The 15767-nt window shown below is 36.8% G+C and overlaps 1 protein-coding gene across 1 annotated transcript in view; it reads left to right on the forward strand.

Annotated features, from left to right (window-relative positions):
* Positions 1 to 9922, forward strand: part of RFC3 (replication factor C subunit 3) — a 159229-nt gene extending 149307 nt beyond the window's left edge. The window contains exon 9 of the mRNA XM_011535175.3: positions 6462 to 9922. Coding sequence (XP_011533477.1) covers positions 6462 to 6476 — 15 coding nt within the window. The 3' untranslated portion in view covers positions 6477 to 9922. The remainder of the gene's footprint in view (positions 1 to 6461) is intronic.
* The last annotated feature ends 5845 nt before the right edge of the window (positions 9923 to 15767 follow it).

Genomic DNA, 15767 nt, shown 5'->3' on the forward strand with positions numbered 1-15767 from the left:
AAATTTTCAACTTAGTTTAAACCAGCAATTCTTTTTTTTTTTTTTTTTTTGAGATGGAGTCTTGCTCTGTCATCCAGGCTGGAGTGCAGTGGTGCGGTCTTGGCTCACAGTAACCTCTGCCTTCTGGGTTCAAGCGATTCTCCTGCCTCAGCCACCCAAGTAGCTGGGATTACAGGCACACACCACCACGCCCAGCTAATTTTTGTATTTTTAGTAGAGATGGGGTTTCACCATGTTGGCCAGGCTGGTCTTGAACTCCTGACCTAGTGATCTACCCACCTCGGCCTCTCAAAGTGCTGGGATTACAGGTGTGAGCCACTGCACCCGGCCTACACCAGCAATTCTTAAACTTGGTTTAAACAAGCAGTTCTCAAACTTATTTGACCACTAACCTTATTTTATTTTAAAAAGCAAATCATACTTATTGATATCTTAATTTTATTTTAAAAAACAAGTCATACCCATTGACATCCATAAAGCTCTTTGGAATACACTTTGACAAATTCTCTGCTAGGGTAATGAAGACTGAGATAAAAATGTGAATTTACAGAAAGACAAAGGTATAATGATTTTATTGTCACCCATGAAGGGTTATCTTGAGTTGATCGTGCCCCTTAACCACTACTTAGGGTCAACACCTTACCTCTCTAAAGCCAGCTCTAGTGCAATAGGCATTTACTCCTTTTTTTTGAGATGGAGTCTGGCTCTGTCGCCTAGGCTGGAGTGCAGTGATGCGATCTCAGCTCACTGCAACCTCTGCCTCCTGGGTTCAAGCGATTCTCCTGTCTCAGCCTCCCAAGTAGCTGGGATTACAGGTGTGCGCCACTACACCTGGCTAATTTTTGTAATTTTCGTAGAGACGAGGTTTCACAATGTTGGCCAGGCTGGTCTCAAACTCCCGACCTCAAGTGATCCTCCCACCTCGGCCTCCTGCAGTGCTGGGATTACAGGTGTGCCACCACGCCTGGCCCAGCATTTACTCTTTACAAATGTAGCTGAGAACATGGGGATCAGATGGTAATTTAACTAAATGATCAACGAGTAAGTTCACAGAATGAAGGACAACCAGACTTTACCAAAGCTTAGGTTGCCTTGTTTTTAGCCAATCAAACAATCAAAAGTTTTTCTGTGTGCTTTCCATGCATGAAGTACTTAATAATCAGTAGAATAATTAGTATCCAACATTGTTGAAAAATGTTCTCAACTCCAAGAAATGATTGTGCAGACCAAACAGCAAAATTCGGAGAGGACACTTTGTAAATTATAAAGTGCTTGACTAAGCACTTTGCCAGTATATTCAGTGCAACCCTTTCAGAAAGAAGATTGTCGTCAATATCCTTGAAATTGCCTCTTACGTTGTCTTGGAAGTTCTGGTTATTAAAGAGAAGAGACACAGAACAAGGCTCTGAAGTTTTATCTTGACAAATTGACCGCATGGCAGCTTGTTCACAGGAGCTGAGATTTCATCTGAATACTAATGCCGGCATTGTGTTGACTTTACCAGGTCAAACTCAAACACTCCAGCTCACAGTTCACCCACCGTACAAATTTTCTTCATTACTGCCATGTCCTCACATTTTAAAAGTCTGCCTAGCAAGAAGTTACACACGTTTCAACACTGTCAACAAATGAGATCTGACAAGTAAACATTTTGCAGCAATGGGTTTTGAAATCTGTACTTTGATTGCCTTCAACTCCTGATGATATTGTATCACAGGTTCTTCACATGCTGGATGAAAAGTGTCCTTTCTTTTTGAAAAGCCACAGGGAATCAATAAGGAGTAAGAATTTTTAACAAGCCTCAGCACCTCAAAGCTAAAGCAATTAGTTCACAAAACTTGACACGCCACCCTTTGAAGGTGAACCTTGGCAACTTAGAGACAGGAGACTGGAAGAAAGTCTGTTTCACCAGCGATTTTCCTACAGAAACTGGGAGCCTTTGCACCTTGTTCGTTGCTCCCAAAGAGTAGACTAAATAAGCATTTTCACCAGCTGGCACTCAGGAAAACCCCAGAGTCCTCTGAACACAGAGACAAAGCCCCTTTAGGACACATGTGTGACTATTTCCAAGGCAGTTACAATAAAATCAAAGTGGCACCATTTTTTACAGATTCAAGGTCTCTTAATACAGCCTACATTTACACAGTGGAAATGGAGGGCTGAGAGTGATGTTCTTAAGTAGAAGAGCACAATAGAAAGATTCGACCTGAAAGTCAGGAGACTTGCATCTTAGTCCAAATTCTATTTGTTCTGGTTTTTGTTGTTGGTGGTGGTGGGAGATAACTTCTTCAGCCCCCAGTTTCCTCTCCTGTAAAATAGAAAATTATATGCCCTGTCCAACCTACTTCACAAAGATATAACTATAGAAATTATATGTGAGCATATTTCTGGTATTATCAGTCTTTTTATGTAAGCTATTCCAAAGATATTAAGTGGCTATTTATTGTCAGATTTGTTTTTTTTTTTTTTGCCTTCAACTTTTATTTTATGTTCCGGGGTACATGTACGGGATGTGCAGGGTTTTTGCATAGATAAACATGTGCCATGGTTGTTTGCTGCACAGATCACCCCATAACCTAGGTATTAAGCCCAGCATCCTTTAGCCATTCTTCCTGATGCTCTTCCTCCTCCCACCCTCCACCCTCCAACAGACCCCAGTGTGTGTTGTTCCCCCTAAATGTTCATGTGTTCTCATCATTCACTATCATTCATAAGTGAGAACATGTAGTGTTTGGTTTTCTTTTCCTGTGTTAGTTTGCTGAGGATAATGGCTTCCAGCTCCATCCATGTCCTTGCAAAAGACATGATCTCATTCCTTTTTATGGCTGCATAGTATTCCATGGTATATATGTACCATATTTTCTTTATCCAATCTATCATTGATGGGCATTTGGGTCGATTCCATGTCTTTGCTATTGAGAATAATGCTGCAATGAACATAAACATGCATGTATTTTTAAACAGAATGCTTTATGTCCCTTTGGGCATATACCCAGTAATGGGATTGTTGGACCAAATGGTGTTTCTGCTTCTAGATCTTTGAGGAACCAACTGTGTGATCATATTTTATAAAGTGTAAATGACTGTCTTAGTTTGAATTCCCGAAGAAACAGATGCTGAGACAAGAATTTGAGTGCAGTAGTTCACTTGGAAAATAATTCCAGGAAACACCAGTAGGGGAAAGGGAAAAGAGGCAGTACTGGGCATAATATCAAATAAATTCTTACTGTATGTAACTGACTTCGTTTGGGTGGGAACTCTGGGAAGCAACACAGGACACATACCTCAGGGTTCTCTCACTGGTGGTCCTGCTGAGCGCATACACACCAACTCTCTTCAGCCATTGAGAAGGGTCTTGTGGGTGAGTGGAAGTTAATACTTGACACTTCAGCCTACTACATGCAGAGACTGATCAGGTTCAGAGAAAGTCAGAGAAAGCTGCTAGCCAAAGAGATGTCAGTCCTGGGAGTTGGAAGGGGCTTGGTGTACACTTAAATGGCAACAGCCAGGTGGGTATGAGCCAAGCCTTGACATCTCTGAGATAGAATCCAGGCTTTCTGTAACCTACTAAGATGATCTTTCCCCTTTTTTATTAAAAAAAATATAGAATAGAACAGAGAAAATATAACAAATATCCATTATGCAGAATTAACAAAGTTGATATATTTGTTAAGTTTCTTTTAAATATATTTTAAGAAAACAGAAGAAAAAAACCTTCAGACCAGCTGAACTCTCTTTTGCGATCATTTCAGTCCTTTTTCCTTTTCTCACTTCAGAATTGGAACCATTATCATGAATTGGATGAAAATTTTGACCTTTGAGTTTTTATAAAAGTTTTGCCAAGAAAGTTTCTATAACCAACTTATACTGCTGTTCTGTTTGTTTTACAAATTAATAGGAATAAAATAAATGTTGTGCGTCATTCTGAATACTTGTAATTTTCACTCAAGATTATTTTTGAAATCTGTTCATGCAGAAACATTTATCTTCAATTGTTCTACAGCAAGAGTCAGCAAACATTTTCTGCAAAGGGCCAGATCATAAATATTTTAGGCTTTGTGAGCTACATAGTCTCTGTCACAACTACTCAATTCTGCCGTTATGGCATAAGAGCAGCCATAGGCTATAAGGCAAATGAAGAAGCATGTTTGTCCTCCAATAAAACTTTATTGACAAAAACAGTCAGTGGGCTCTGCTTCTTCTCTGCAGCATTTCATCACAAGAACATACCAAGTTGCATTTATCTATGTCTCAGCAGCTGGCCATTTAGATCATTTCTAATATTTTGCAATTATAAGTCATGATTAAATAAATATATATGTCTCTTTAATAGTTATGTAAGAATTTCTCTTGGTGTTTACTTTAAAAATTCCTGGTCAGGTGCAGTGGCTCACGCCTGTAATCCTAGTACTTTGGGAGGTCGAGGTGGGTGGATCACTTGAGGTCAGGAGTTCAAGAACAGCCTGACCAACGTGGCACAACCCCATCTCTAATAAAAATACAAAAAAAATTAGCTGGGCATGGTGGCGTGCACCTGTAGTCCTAGCTACTCTGGAGGCTGAGGCAAGAGAATCACTTGAACCTGGGCAATGGAGGTTGGCAGTGAGCCGAGATCGCACCACGGCACTCCGGCCTGGGTGACAGAGCAGGACTCTGTCCTCACTAATAATCAGAGAAATGCAAAATAAAATGGTAATACTTTTTGATGTAGCCAACTTTTTCAATTTGTTTTATAAATTATGTTTTTGAACTTTTTTTTCAAAATCCTCAAGATAGTATAAAATATTCAAATCTTAGTTTACCTTTATTACAGCCCCTTCTTGGGGTCTATTTCTATGCACAGAGTCCAACTACAGCTTCTCCTTTATCTCTGGGCCCACAACCTCCACTTCCAGCCCTGGGTTGGTGCTGAAATCCAACTGTCTTCAGTGTGTGTTCAGTCCTCAAAGACAGACAACTCCACTTCTCCTAGATTGGAGTTCTTTTCTCATGTTTAGCACCTGAAGATTCCTCTTTCTTGCTATTAAGTTTGACTTTATGTTTTTTGTTGTATTTTACCAAGTATTTTTATCTTTTGGAGTAGGAATGGAAGCTTTTCATTTCTACTTGGGTCTACCAGATGTTTGCAAGTCCCTGTCACAATCTATTCACATTGTGCTTCTCCAAATGGACACCAAACTCTGTACCTGCAAGATTCATAATAAAATTGGTAGCCTGGAAATGTAGCTGGCAATATTAGCTCTACTTAGTACCACATTATGGCCCGTTAAGCCTAAATTGTGAACTTGTTGAGGGAAGGGACAATACGTTATATATCATTTTATCTCCAGCATCTATCACAGAGTATTAGATGCTAATGTATTACACATATAATACAATAATATGACATTGTCGTAGGTACTTGATAAATGTATACATAAAGAGTGCATGAAATAGAAAAATGTCAAGAGGCTTTATGGGACCTACCTTGCAGAAGGGCATAAGAATCGCCACAGTGATTTCTGGACTGGATACTAAGAATAAATTTACTTAATATTATTCATTTAGTGCCTATTGTGAGTAAAATCCATATCAGCTTTGAAGGATGATATAGAAAATAACACAAATTATTTTACTCTGCAAAAGCCATAGACTCCTTGCTGTCTCATAAAAGAGCAAAGACAACACATATCAAATATTGCAGACTGTGTGTGTGTGTGTATATATATATATACATAAGTAATAGACTGTAGTAATGGTTAAACTGCAAGTTCTATAAAAGTTTGAGAATTTGAGAGATCCCTATGGAAAGATATCTTAAAGGAGGAGAGATTTGGTCAGATTTTTCCCAGAATGGCAGCATTTGGATAGCTCACCAGAGAGAGCCTTCCTGGCAGAGGGAACAGTACATGGCTAAAGCTCAGCAGATAAAAATCAGTGCAGTGTCATGGAGGTGATTTATTTCTGCCTTCATTGAAACCGCTGAATATTGCCCAGTCTTCTCTACTTTTGCAGCCACATCTGGAAAGGGAGATAGTATGGCATACCTAGCAACGAGTGAGGCTTGGAAACACATTTTGTGGGAGATACTGAAAGGAAGGGTGAAGACTGCATCTCATAGGGCGTAATACCTGGTGACTATAAAAGTCATTTTCAACTCCTTCTCCTTCTCCTTCTCCTCCTTCTCCTTCTCCCTCTCCCTCTCCCTCTTCTTCTTCTTCTTTTTTTTTTTTTTTGACAGAGTCTCACTCTGTTGCCCAGGCTGGAGTGCAGTGGTGCAATCTCGGCTCATTGCAACCTCTGCCTCCTTAGTTCAACCGATTCTCCTGCCTCAGCCTCCTGAGTAGCTGGGATTACAGGAATGCACCATCACGCCTGGCTAATTTTTGTGTTTTTAGTAGAGATGGGGTTTTACCATGTTGGCCAGGCTGGTCTGCAACTCCTGACATCAGGTGACCTGCAACCTCTCTTTTTGTTTCTAGGCTGTATCCCAGTAGAAGACTCAAAGGCACCTCTGATTGTCTCTCCAGCATAGTAATTCTGGAAACCAAGATCTGTATTTTGTTCTTTCCCATAGGCCATGTGCTCTAAGGGCCGAGATACAGGACTGGCAGTAACAGTGGGTACCACACATGGCTAATAAGAGTGCAGAGGCTGAGGGTATCTGAAGAAGACACTGATTTTTGGCCAAGGTCTGGTGAATTTGCACTCGTGGCTGCAGAAATCATCCTGGCGCAAAACAAGCTTTAAATCTTTCATTTGGGGGAAACGATCATGAAAGTGCCTAGAAAATAAGTTAGCACATGATATGCTTCTTTTTTTCTTTTTATTTACTTGACTTAAGGCAAACTGTTGTAGTAATAAGGAACATTGTTTTCCACTTGCTCATCTCCAGTCTCACTTTGATTGTGTGTGGACACACTGCCCTGGCTCTCACAAGTAGCCCATTAGCAGTCACATCTTTGTGCATCTGGGGCCCAGACTGCTGTTTTCTCTGCTGCTAAACAACTCTATTTCCTTCCCTAACCTCTACCTCTTCCCCAGCATGGAATGATGGTCCCTGAGTCTTTATTTTTGTCATGAATTAAGGATTCTTACCTGACTGTATTTGCTAACTTTACAAAATGAGAGAATAGTGACCACCTCAAGTACATCCGAGAACAATTCTCCAAATTTTAAGAAAGTAAGAATATGCAATGTCAATTAGTGGAAAACTATACAAATTATTTGATTTATCAGAATAGATTTTAAAGATGAAAAAGGCTCAGACTAATTAAAAATGAGCAAAAGTGTAGACACTGTACTGAAGAAGAAATAAAGGTGCCAAATAAACATATAAAAAGTTCCCCTTCATTTATCACTTGCATATTTCAAATTAAAACAACGAGATATCACTATATACCTTTAGAATAGCTAAAATTAAAACAACAGCAGCAACAACAACAACAAAACCCTGATAATACTAACTGATGGCAATGATGTGGAACAAGAGGAACTCTCATTCATTGCTAGTGTAAATGAGAAGTGGTACAGCCACTTTGGAACACAGTTTGGAAGTTTCTTGTAAAGCTATACATTGTCTTACCATATAATCCAGCAATGTAATGCTACTAGATATTTACTTAACTGATTTGAAAACTTAAAAACCTCGTATAAATGATTATAGCAACTTCATTTATAATCACCTCAAACTGAAAGTAACCAAGACGTCCTTCAAAGGTGAATTGATGAACAAACTGTAGTATGCTCATATAGTGGAAACTATTCAAGAATGCAAAGACTGAGCTATCAAACCTGCCAAGGTATGGATGAATCTTGAATTAATATTGCTAAGTGAAAGAAGCTAGTCTAAAAAGGCTACATACTATATGATTCCAATTACATGACTATATGGAAGAGGCAGAACTATGGAGATAGTAAACGGATGAGTGGTTGCTAGAAGTTCCATAGGGGAAAGGAAAAGAGTTGAGTACATGAGCATAAAGAATTTTTTTAGACTGGTAAAACTATTCCATATAATATTCTAATGGTAGATACTTGCCATAATGTATTTGTCAAAACCCATAGAACTTTACAGCAAAAAAGTAATTTATGCAAATCTTTAAATATCTCTTAAGAGGTCTGGAAATCCCAGGATTGAATATAGAATGTGGCAAAATTATCCCACCATATTACAAATGTACGAAACAAGCTCACTGATGGGCATAGGAGTAAAGGTGCTGACCTAAGTAACTTTGACAATGAGTGGAATCTATGAGACTAAAGGCTGAAAGAAGCACACAGAAGCACTGCACTGTGGCTGATAAAGTTGCTGCCCAACAGGTATGTGGATTAATGATTCTGAAACCCCTATACATGTATACTAGAATTGAACAAAAACTAAATTAATTTAATGTATATGCATGTAGAATTACAAATATATTTTCTTGCTCTGTCAGCAGAGGGGGCCTAGAAGCAATGATATTCTGGGAGCAGAGAGCCTACCTAGCCCCCAGATTTTGGTTTCTGATAATTATTCTCTAATAAAATGAACCAAGGTTCTTTGGAGAAGCGACTGATTGTAGAATGAGGACAGGAAATATTCGAGATGAACTTGGAGTAATTTGTGCTGCAAGAAAATAAGAAAGTGCCAAAAAGTAGTTGAAAACCCCACAATGATGGGGTATACCAAAGAACGTAGGAAGTAACTGAAAGGGTTCCCAGTGAAAGAAGCATTGGATTATAAACATATGAAATAAAAATTCACAAACTCATACTGATATAGAAAATTATGGAATACAAACTATCCATCTGGGAACAGATATACACAATGGAATATTAAAATGAAGTCCTGTAACTTGTAGCAACATAAATGGAACTGGAAGTCATTATGTTAAGTGAAATAAGCCAGGTACAAACAAATATGGCACGTTCTCATTCATATGTGGAAGTGGATCTCATGGAAGCAGAGGGTAGAATGGGGGTTATCAGAGGTGGGAAGGGAAGCCGGGGAGAGCAGAGATGAGGAGAAGTTGGTTAAGAGGTACAAAAATACAGTTAGATAGAAGAAACAAATTCTAGTATTAGTAGAGTAGGATAACTATAGTTAACAACATTGTATTTTATACTTTAAAGTAGCTAGAAAAGAAGATTCATAATGTTCTCATCACAAAGATAAATGTTTGAAGTGATGGATATTCCAATTACCCTGATTTGATCATTACACATTGTATACAGGTATCAAAATATCACATGTACCCCCAAAATATGTACAACAATTATATAGCAATAAAAATAAGGTTAGAAAAATAAAAGGGGGTGAGGAAATAAATGCCCCGTGTAGACTAAATCCAAATAATTAGCATACATATTCTGCCCTTAGGAAGATGGAACTTAACTCTCCACTTTTTAAGTGTGGGCTGTGCATGGTGGCCTCCTTCCAAAGAGTTTAGCATGAAAAAGGGAGAAAAAACTTGTAACTTAATAGAGGAGAAACCTGACAAACACTACCTCGCCCAGGTAGTCAAGGTTAGCAATAGTGATGAGTCCTGTTGATTGTGATGTGATTAGAATGGCACTTTACTTCTGTGGGCTTCCTTCCAAAAATTCACAATACCAATGTAATCGTGAGAAAAAAAATCACACATCCCAAGTGAGGGACATTCTGCAAAATTCCTGACCAGTATTCCTCAAAACTGTCAAGGTCATCAAAAACAATGAAAGTCTGAGAAACTGTGGCAAGCAAGAGGAACCTAAGGCAACACGGTGACTAATGCATGATGTATGAATAAATATTGACTAGCTAATAATAATGCATAGTCTTGGTTCATTAACTGCGGTCTATCTATCATAGCAATAGAAGATGTTAATAATGAGGAAAATCGGATGTGGGGTATATATGAGAATGCTCTGTTACCTTTCCAACTTTAGTGTATTCTGAAATAAAGGTTTTATTTAAAAACAATAAGGGTTTTATAAAAATTTCTATTACTTTAAAAAGCACTGCTCCACCCTGGCTTAGCAGACCTTGTAATGAGACCTGAATAGGCTTTATTTTACACAAAAGATTATGTACTCCAGGGATCTGACAGAAATTTACTATAAATTATATTTAAATATATTCTCACTGTTCAAAATCAGAAATAAAACCAACATGCTTCTTAAAATGTGTTACATAGCACATCTCAACATTGGAATCAACTGATATGTTATCCTGTCCCATCTACTGGATTCATGTTTGTGCAGTGCTTCCTTAACCACCTCTATATAAGCAGAGGGTATTGTGATAATGCAAGGTAAGTTGTTTAAAAAAAAAATCACCACTTGCATCTCCCTATCTGTGTGAATATGGACTCTCTCCAAGTTATGTAAGCAAAAGCCATGACAGATATTGGCTGCAGGTTCATTTATCTTCAACTTTCCGGTATAATCTCAATTTTGAATTGTTTGTGTTTACTGAAACAACTTCATGAAGTGACTTTAAAAAATACAATGTAAAAATATATTCTATAATTTCAATGTTATAAAGTACATTTATATTAATAAATATTATTGTTTAATATCCTGGAATGCTGTTTTATATATTGGTTCTATGTATTATATTATTTAACTATAAGGGGCGTTTCTGTTGGTTTTTTTTAAAAAAAGCCTTGAAAGCTACTTTACTACAACAAAACCTAGTCTCTACTGCAGCCAGGAATTGATATAATAAATAATTCATTTATGACCCTTGTCACATATGGCTGTTTTCATTAAAAATTCTCCAAGTTCAGAATTAAAGCTTGCATGCAAAAAGAAACAGGCCTGAAACTTAACAAGCAAGATGGCTCAGACTCCCAAACCAATTACCAGTAAACAGTGTTTTCTTTTCTGGTAGGAGAGGTAAAAGGATAGGCAAAGGCCTGATTGTGATGTGTTGGGTGATGTTTTTTATACCTAACTAAATATCACATGAATCACTCTGTGAGCCTCAGTTAATGTGTCTATATGTAGATATGAAAATACCTGACCCGCCTAAAAGAGAAAGGGCGGGGACACCAAAGGCCCCGAGACTCCCTCATGGTTCTAAGATCAAAAATGTTTTTGCCTTTATCCAATTTACCAAATGATCAGGCATAAAGAATTGCATTTGTTTTGTGCTATCCTAATTGAACAAGTTGTTTTTGTTCTTCCATTTCCTAGTTTCTCATCTATTGCATCTTTTCTACATCCTTTACTCTTTTCAGCAACCCTGAATACTTCCAAACCTAATGAGTTGCATCCCCCAATCCTATTGGTCCATAATTTTGTTTGAAAGTCAGATGTGATTTTTGGCCTGTGTAATATTTGAGAATTAATTTTCCCCTTCCTATCTCCATGGCATAGCTGTCTCCTAGGTTCTACTGCATCTCTGGTTGTTCCTTTGTGGTCCTCTGTGGTTCCTCTTTCTCTGACTCAGGCCTTAACAGCAGACGCTCCCTAGGGCCCATTTTGAGTTTCTACTCTTCTTACTTTTCACACCCTCCTGGGTGACATAATCAATATCCAGGGCTTCGACTATTAGGCAGCATGCAAATAACTCGAGAAACCTAGATTTTTGGTCAGGATTACTCTAGTGAATTCCAAGTCTTTATTCAAGTCTGCTAAATTCTTCCACTTAGTTGTCTCACAGGTATTTCAAATTCTTCATGTCTAAAACTGATTGTATCATACCCACACCCAATTCCCAGCATATTATTATATCCCTCACCTAGCAAACCTGAAGCCTAGGAGCATTTTAGAATAAATTAGCACAGTCTTGTGCTAACTTACTATGACATCTGTTTTGCTCCTCCTGCTTCTCCATTTCCAGACCCATAGTATAACACTCTTATTATTCTCACCTGGATCTTTCAACTAGTTTCTTTGTTCCCAGTCTGACCTCCCTTCAATCCATCTTTCTCAATCCATCTTTATATTTTAGAAAGAATTTTCTAAAATATAAGCCATTTCTTAATAACATCCAGCAATAGGATACTTTAGAATAGTCATTCTTCTTCATCTTAGGACATAAACTCATCACCACAGTCCTATATGTGGCATCTACCAAGAATCCACCACCCCTCTGTTGTTTTTAGAAAATAGTTTTTTATTTTTATTTATAAATCAACACATAATAATTGTACATATTTATGTAGTACATAATGATGTTTTGATACATGCAATGTATAGTGATCAGATCAGGGTAATCAGCATCTTCACTATATGAAATATTTATTATTTCCTTGTGTTGGGAACATTTAATATCCTCCCTTCTAGCTATTTGAAAATATATAATGTGTTTGAAACATCTCTGAGATCTCTCTCTACTCCCCTTTTTCATCATCTAGCCTTTCCTAACTGGCCCCATCTTATTTATTTATTCTTTCTCTATCATATCTTTTACCAAAGTAAAATATAACCACTTATGTACTTATTTCAACTCTTCATTAGACTCTAAGTTCCTTGAGGTCAGGAATGTGTCTTATTTTACTTTATATTCCCAACACATAATTCAGTTGCCTGATACGTAGCCAACATTTAAAAATCTTTGCTGACTGAATGACACAAATAGGCACATTATTATTATTTTTTAAAGAGAAGCACATCACATGCTATACAATTTATCATCTCAGTTTATCTACTTCAACAAGTCCTGATTTTCTTTTTTCTATAGGGAACAATTTGTAACCAAAGAGCTTTTATTTAGTCAGCCAAGCAATAATAATGAAAGGAAACAAATGAATTCACGCTGCTACTAATAGCAAGGTTATCTTGTATATGATAGATGGTCATTCATAAAATTCCCTATTCAATCTTCAGAATTTTAATCAAATTGTGGAAGTTGAGGCAAGAGAAAAAGATGATTTTGTCCCATTTATCAAAGCTATGCTCAGAAGAAACCAATAAGCAGCAGCCATTTAGGAGTAATGATGGACAGGAAGAGGTCAAAAGCAGGGAGAGAAAGAGATGATTTTTTAAAAAGTCAGAAGCCTTTAATTTTAATGGTCATTTTTTATTGGCATGACCATTGTGGTCTTCCTACCAGACTATGTGCTGCTCGTGATTGACAGAAGCAAAAAAGACTATGAGAAGGAGTGACTGGCTGAAGAAAACCTCAAGAGTTGAAGGTGCCATTTAAAACTGATTTTTCAGTTATTTAAGCTATTGAGGTTGAATATAGGCCAGTATTAATAATTGTTAATAATGTACTGAGAAATGAAGGGCTGTAAAAAGAACATATTTAGTATACTCATCCAAAAATATATCCAAAAGTATATGAAATAGAATGCTTCGTATGTTACTAGAAGTGTCACATTTATTATGATAATTATTACTGTAAACAAAAGGCTACCTTGAACACCATAGCCTATGAAGAAAAAAAGTCAATGAAAAGATACAAATCAAATCAGTTATCAACACTTAGAAGAGTAAATGGTACTAGGAGATATATACATATATATATATATATGTATGTATATATAAAAGACTAAAGAGTATATATATACACACATATGGAAGTATATATATTATATATACATTTGTATGGAGATATATACATACACTATATATATTTTCTCTCTCTGTCTCTCTATATATATCTATATATACATATATATAGGCTTCAGTCTTTGAGGGTGTCTTATGATGAACAAAAGTTCTTATTTTAATGACTTATTTAAAGGCAATTTCTACCTTTATAGTTAATGCTTTTTGTCCCGTTTTAAAAAACCCTGGCATATCCCAAGGTCATAAAGATATTATCTTATGTAGCCTTGCAAAAGTCTTATGATTTTGCCTTTTTTTTTTTTTTTTTTTTTTTTTTTGAGATGGGAGTTTTGCTCTTGTTGCCCATGCTGGAGTACAATGGTACGATCTCGGCTCACTGCAACCTCCACCTCCTGGGTTCAAGTGATTTACCTGCTCAGCCTCCCGAGTAGCTGGGATTACAGGCATGCGCCACCACGCCCGGCTGTCATTCTTAATTTGACTTCAATTCATCAAAAATTGCTTTGGGGAATGGTATGAAGTAGGTTCCTACACAGATACCTACCTGGCTCAACACCAGTTATTGGAAGGACCGTTGTTTTGCTACAGCCTTGCAGAGGCATTCTTGTAACAAACCAAATGTCTGTATATGTGGGTCTATTTCTGGCCATTTTCTTCTGGCTTATTGTTTCATATTTTCATCCTTGCATCATCACTGTGCTGTATTTCCTTGCTTTAAGGATTTCTGGCAATGGAGGTGCTTCCACATGGGTCTTCTTCATGATTATTTTGGCTAGTCTTCAAATTTCATATTCATTTTAGAATAAGATTATAATTTCTACCCTCAAACCTTGCTGGGATGTTTATTAGTATTACAATGAATCTATGGATTAATTTGGGGACATTTCTGCAATGTTGACTGTTTCAGTATTATAAATAGAGGTATTGAATGATTTCAGGTTTTCTGCCTCCCTCCTTCTATCTTCGACTCCTATTAGCAACAGAGAAATCTCAATGCTTGTATTAATACAAAAGTCATATCTTGTCCTTCCCAATCCCCATCCTTTTTCCATGATGTTCTCCTGCCCCCTCTTGATTCCCAGCTGTCTCCAGCAACCATGGTTTTCTTGCTGTTCCTCAAACATTTCAGGTGTACTCCCATCCCAGGGCCTGCATGGACTGTTTTCTCTCACATGACGCCCTTTCTCCACACTTGCATAAGTTTCCCTCCTTCTCAAGTTTTATTCAAGTTTTTAATTTCTCCAAGTTTTTATTCAAAAATAACTCCTCTGACAAATTAGGAGGGAAAGGGGATTTCTTCAATTTGAAAACAAATATCTGCTCAAAACCTTTAGTAAACATCATAGATAATGGTGCAATAGTAAATACTTTCCATTTGAGATTGATATGAGGCAAACATGTTTACTAACATCATTTATTTCAGTATTTTATTAGAAATTCTAATATAAACAGTAAGGCAAGCAAAGATATTAAATGTATAAGGGTTGTCAACAAAGAAATAAAGGTTATTACTCACAAATCACAAAATTGTGCCTGTAGAAAACCCAAAAATTCTACAGATAAACTGAGAATTTAAAAGTGAGTTTCCCAGCATCACTTTAGATATGTTGATAATATCAAATTATTTGTATTTCTGTAATTCATCAGGAATAAGTTTTAATTGTAAAAAAGATACCATATATAATAACAAAAACTAATACAAAAATAAATTTAATGGCCACAAGATCTCTACACAGAAAATTATGAAACATTATTGAGATAAATTAAAGAATATCTAAATAGAGAAATATATCATTGTCTATTGGTCCAAATTTAATACACTTTAAAAGTGGAGAAGACAAGCAAACAAAAGTCAAAATCTACAAGAACAAAAGTAGGTTTAGCAAACATTAATAACAATGATAAACCCCTAGCAAAATTAATCAAAGAAAAAACTAAGAGAGAAGACACAATTACCAGTATAGAAATGAAATAGAGGACTTCACCAGGGATCCCCTAGATATTAAAGTGATAATAACAAAATATTATGAACTACTTTATGGCAATAAATTAGATAACTCAAACGAAACTGACAAGTTCCTTTAAAAGCAATTTACCAAATCCCATGAAATGGATACAAAAATAAATGGAAAGTCTGGATACCCCCATATCCGTTAAAGACATTGAAATTTTCCTTAAAGGATGGCATTAATGGTAAATTCGAAGGAACATTCAAGAAAGAAACAATGCCAGTCTTCCACAGACTCTGCTGATTATTAAAGAGGCAGGAACAACATTTTCTTATTTGTCTAGAAGACTACCAA

This window comes from Homo sapiens, chromosome 13 (assembly GCF_000001405.40).
Source record: "Homo sapiens chromosome 13, GRCh38.p14 Primary Assembly".
NCBI classification, from domain to species: Eukaryota; Metazoa; Chordata; class Mammalia; order Primates; family Hominidae; genus Homo; species Homo sapiens.